We start from the raw sequence: 6,000 nt of genomic DNA, 5'->3' as shown, positions 1-6,000 counted from the left end.
CGGAGGCTGCAGTGAGCCAAGATTGTGCCACTGCACTCTAGCCTGAGTGACACAGCGAGACTCCGTCTCAAAAATAAATAAATAAACAAATAAATAAATGAAAAAGAAAGACCCAACTATACGCTCCCACAAGAAACTCAACTCATACTTAAGACCATGAGTAGATTACAAGTGAAAGTACAGAAAATATATCCATGCAAATGAAAACCAAAGAGAAGAAATGAAGCTATACATATATGAAATAAAATAGGCTTTAAAAACTTTAAAAGGTCATTTTATATTAGAAAGATTTCAATTCATAAAGATGATATCTATAACAGTTGTAAACATATACACATCCAAGATCAGAGCACTTACATATATTAAGCAAATATTAACAGATGTCAAGGAAGAGACAGATTATAATGCAATAAAGTAGGGTAGTTTGACACCCCACTTGAAGCAATGGACAAATCATCCAGACAGAAAATAAATACGAAAACATTGAACTACACTTTAGACCAGATGGACCGAACACAACATTCATTCTGGCAACAGAATTCACATTTTTCTCAATGGCACACATAACATTCCCCAGAATAGATCATTTATTAGGCCACAAAATAAGTCTGAACAAATTTAGAAACATTGAAGTCATTTCAAGTACCTTTCCTAACCACAACGTTATGAAACTAAAAATCAATAACAGAGAAATTTTGGAAAATATGAAAATATATAAAACTTAAACAGCATGCTCCTGAACAACCAAAGGGTCAAAGAAGAAAATAAAAGGGAAATGTAAAAATAGCTTGAGACAAACGAAAATAGACACACAACATACCAAAATGTATTCAATGCAGAAAAGTCAGTTCTAAGAGAGATGTTTATTGCAATAAACACCTACATCAAGACAGAAAAAAGATTCCAAATAACCTAATGATAAAACCCAAGGAACTAAAAAAAGAACAAGCTAAGCACAGCATCCACGGGGAAAAAAAAGAGGAAAGATCAGAGCAAAAATCAGTCAAAGAGAATAGAAAAAAATAGGAAAGATCAATGAATCTGAAAGTTCTTTTTTGAAAAAGTACAAAAAAATCAACAAACCTGTGGCCAGACTAAGATAAAGAGTGAAAAGTCTCAAATAAAGTTAAAAAAAAATGCAAGAGGAGACATTGCAACTAATACCACATCAATACAAAATTTCATAATTGACTATTATGAAAACTTATGTGACAATAAATTGTATAATTTAGAAGAAATGGGTAAATTCCTAGACACATAAAACCTACCAAGACTAAATCAAGAGGAAGTAGAAAATCTGTACAGACCAATAACAAGTAAAAAGATTGAATTAGTAATAGTTTCCCATCACATAAAAGCCCAGGACCTACCTGATGGCTCCCCTGCTGATTTCTACCAAATGCTGAAAAAACAGATACCAATCCTTCTTACGTTGGGGGATGGGGGAGGGACAGCATTAGCGGAAATACATAATGTAAATAACGAATTAATGGGTGCAGCAAACCAACATGGCCAATGTATACATATGTAACAAACCTGCACGTTGTGCACATATACTCTAGAACTTAAAGTATAATAAAAAAATTAAAGAATAGGGACAACTTCAAAACTCACTTTACAAGGCCAACATTTCCCTGATATCAAAGTCAGACAAGAATACTATAAGAAAATAATATTACAAGACAATATCCCTGATGAACATAGATGCAAAAATTCTCCACAAAATGCTATAAAACCAAATTCAAAAACACGTCAAAAGGATCATTCACCTTGATGAAGTGGGATTTATCTCCAGAATACCACAATAGTCCAACATACACAAATCTATAAATGTGGTACACCACATTAACAGAATGAAGAACAAAATAACTGAAGGACAAAACCATGTGATCATTGGAATACATGCAGAAATGCTATTTGACAAAATACAATAGCCCTTCATGATAAAATCTGTCAACGAGTAGATATAGAACAAATTTACCTCAACAGGAAAAAGGCCATATATGACAAGTTAACTGCTAAAATCATGTTCAACAGTGAGAAGCTGAAGCTTTTCCTCTAAGATCAAGAACAAAACAAGGATGCCCACTCTCACATCTATTTTACATAGTACTAGAAGTCCCAGCTAGAGCAATTAGGAAAGATAATAAAAGGAACATATAAATCAGAAAGGAGAATGCAAATTGTCTCTGATTGCAGAATACATAATCTTTTATATGGTAAACTCTAAAGACTACACGGAAAAAATTACTTCAACTAATAAATGAATTCAGTAAAGTTGCAGGACAAAAAAATTAACATACAAAAATTACTAGCCTATCTATCACTAATAGCAAACTATATAAAAAGAAATCAAGAAAGCAATATCATTTACAACAGCTACAAAAAATAAAATACTTAGGAATATATATTATATATAATTATATATATTATATAATATAGAATATATAATTATATGATATATTATGTAATATATTATGTAATATATTATATAATATATTATATAATATATTATATAATATATTACATAATATATTATATATAATTATAATATATAAATTATACAATTATACATAATTATAATAAATATTATATATATATTCCAAGAAGGCAAAAGATCTCTACACAAAAAACTATAAAACACTGATGAAAGAAATTGAAGAAGCCACAAATGAATGGAAAGATATCCTGTGTGCATGAACTGGAAGAATTAATACTGTTAAAATATCCACACTATCCATTGTCATCTATAAATTTAATGTAATCCTTATCAAAAATCCAGTGGCATTTTTCATGAAAAAAAACAAGCAATATTAAAATTATTTTATCACAAAACATCCTCAAAAGCCAAATCAATCTTAAGAAAGTACAGAGCAGGAGACTTCATTCTTCCTGATTGCAAAGTCTATTACAAAGCTATAGTAATCACAGTAGTGTGTTACTAGCATGAAAACAAACACATAGAGCAATGGAACAAAATAGACAGCCAGGACATTATCTCATTTATATTCGAATAACTAATATTTGACAGTGGCACCAAGAACAAACAATGGGAAAAGAATATTCTCTTAAATAAATGGTGTTGGAAAAACTGGATCTCCACCTTCCAAAGAATAAAATTTGACCCCTATCTTATACCATTCATAAAAATTAAAATAGTTTTAAGTCTTAAATATGAGATTTGAACCCACAAAACTCCTGGAAGAAAACAGAAAAATAACTCTTTGATATTTGTCTGGATTTTTTTTTTTTTTTGTATATGACCTCAGAAGCACAAGCAACAAAGACAGAAATAGATAAATAAGATTACTTCAAACTGAAAACCAATCTCAGCCTGGAAACAAGGTTATAAATTCCAATGGGCTGCTGGGAAGTCCATGTAAAACCCAAGAGCAGGATGATATAACCCTACATCATAGGGCAAAAGGATTGCATGTTCATTGGGTTACAATGCCTAATATAATAACTGGAAAGTGTAGGATCTCAGCAAGTGTTAGCTATGGCGAAACCAAACAGATTTATACAGTCCATTATTCCAAAAATCCCACAAAATGGAATTAAAGCACATTCCTAAGAAATAGGAAATAGCATCTCTTGTCACAAAGCTGGAAGTAAATTTTAATGTGTAATTAAATGGAACTCAACTCATAAAGAAATACATATAGATAGATATATACATATATATTTACAGAATATGTGTGTTTATGTGTATATATGTGTGTATCTTGAAGGAAAAATCTGATGTGACTAGCATTAATTAAACTATCAATTTGGCAGAGGTAGCCACTTGATGAAGTCAATTAGTTGCTATACTATTGTCATTAAAAGTAATTGACAAGACTTTTAAATGGATATTCTCAAAATCCTGTTTTGGCCGTTGTAAGCACTGATTATGCCTCCTGGACATAATTGTTGCCACATTTATTCTTCAACAGCCATAAGGATCTCACGGTATCAGATGTTTGCTGCCTAGATTCATTCTGTCATGGCAGAACGGTTGACATTTCACACTACAATGCTAACTGCACTTCACGGACAACCCATCTGAGCAAACGGCAGAGCAAATCTTCATAGAATATGACAGATGGGAAATGGTCCACTATTATTTAAGTGAATGACCACTGAAGATTTAAGATGCTCTTTTTAGCCATTTCCTCATGATTAATGCACGTTTTCATACCCTCCTAATTCTTGGTCTTTTAGATGTCATTTAATTATGTAACTTTATATCCAAATCAGGTAATTATGTGAAAAGAGCTCACATGCGAAGAGTTTCAGAGGAGAAGCCAAGATGGCCGAATAGGAACAGCTCCGGTCTACAGCTCCCAGCGTGAGTGACGCAGAAGACAGGTGATTCCTGCATTCCCATCTGAGGTACCGGGTTCATCTTACTAGGGAGTGCCAGACAGTGGGTGCAGGTCAGTGGGTGCGCGCACCGTACGCGAGCCGAAGCAGGGCGAGGCATTGCCTCACTCGGGAAGCGCAAGGGGGCAGGGAGTTCCCTTTCCTAGTCAAAGAAAGGGGTGACTGACGGCACCTGGAAAATCGGGTCACTCCCACACGAATACTGCGCTTTTCCGACGGGCTTAAAAAACGGCGCACCAGGAGAATATATCCGGCACCTGGCTCAGAGGGTCCTACGCCCACGGAGTCTCGCTGATTGCTAGCACAGCAGTCTGAGATCAAACTGCAAGGCAGCAGCGAGGCTGGGGGAGGGGCGCCCGCCAATCCCAGGCTTGATTAGGTAAACAAAGGGGCCAGGAAGCTAGAACTGGGTGGAGCCCACCACAGCTCAAGGAGGCCTGCCTGCCTCTGTAGGCTCCACCTCTGGGGGCAGGGCACAGACAAACAAAAAGACAGCAGTAACCTCTGCAGACTTAAATGTCCCTGTCTGACAGCTTTGAAGAGAGCAGTGGTTCTCCCAGCACGCAGCTGGAGATCTGAGAACGGGCAGACTGCCTCCTCAAGTGGGTCCCTGACCCCTGACCCCCGAGCAGCCTAACTGGGAGGCACCCCCCAGCAGGGGCAGACTGACACCTCACACGGCCGGGTACTCCAACAGACCTGCAGCTGAGTGTCCTGTCTGTTAGAAGGAAAACTGACAAACAGAAAGGACATCCACACCAAAAACCCATCTGTACATCACCATCATCAAAGACCAAAAGTAGATAAAACCACAAAGATGGGGAAAAAACAGAACAGAAAAACTGGAAACTCTAAAAAGCAGAGCACCTCTCCTCCTCCAAAGGAACACAGTTCCTCACCAGCAACGGAACAAAGCTGGGCAGAGAATGACTTTGACGAGCTGAGAGAAGAAGGCTTCAGACGATCAAATTACTCCGAGCTACAGGAGGACATTCAAACCAAAGGCAAAGAAGTTGAAGACTTTGAAAAAAATTTAGAAGAATGTATAACTAGAATAACCAATACAGAGAAGTGCTGAAAGGAGCTGATGGAGCTGAAAACCAAGGCTCGAGAACTACGTGAACAATGCAGAAGCCTCAGGAGCCGATGCGATCAACTGGAAGAAAGGGTATCAGCAATGGAAGATGAAATGAATGAAATGAAGCGAGAAGGGAAGTTTAGAGAAAAAAGAATAAAAAGAAACGAGCAAAGCCTCCAAGAAATATGGGACTCTGTTGAAAGACCAAATCTACGTCTGATTGGTGTACCTGAAAGTGACGGGGAGAATGGAACCAAGTTGGAAAACACTCTGCAGGATATTATCCAGGAGAACTTCCCCAATCTAGCAAGGCAGGCCAACGTTCAGATTCAGGAAATACAGAGAACGCCACAAAGATACTCCTCGAGAAGAGCAACTCCAAGACACATAATTGTCAGATTCACCAAAGTTGAAATGAAGGAAAAAAAGTTAAGGGCAGCCAGAGAGAAAGGTCGGGTTACCCTCAAAGGGAAGCCCATCAGACTAACAGCGGATCTCTCGGCAGAAACTCTACAAGCCAGAAGAGAGTGGGGGCCAATATTCAACATTCTTAAAGA

At 36.9% G+C, this 6,000-nt stretch overlaps 1 annotated feature.

Moving 5' to 3' along the window:
* Positions 4,624-5,124: an enhancer, noted in NCBI's record as "H3K4me1 hESC enhancer chrX:141478562-141479062 (GRCh37/hg19 assembly coordinates)". NCBI's record gives its function as "activates a minimal SCP1, AML or CMV promoter by ChIP-STARR-seq in primed H9 embryonic stem cells {active_cell/tissue: H9 hESC(primed)}" and the evidence as "EXISTENCE:reporter gene assay evidence [ECO:0000049][PMID:30033119]".

Source organism: Homo sapiens, chromosome X, assembly GCF_000001405.40.
Source record: "Homo sapiens chromosome X, GRCh38.p14 Primary Assembly".
Lineage (NCBI taxonomy): Eukaryota > Metazoa > Chordata > Mammalia > Primates > Hominidae > Homo > Homo sapiens.
Note: the sequence above shows the minus strand (reverse complement) of the source record. Positions and strands in the feature narration are given on the sequence as shown.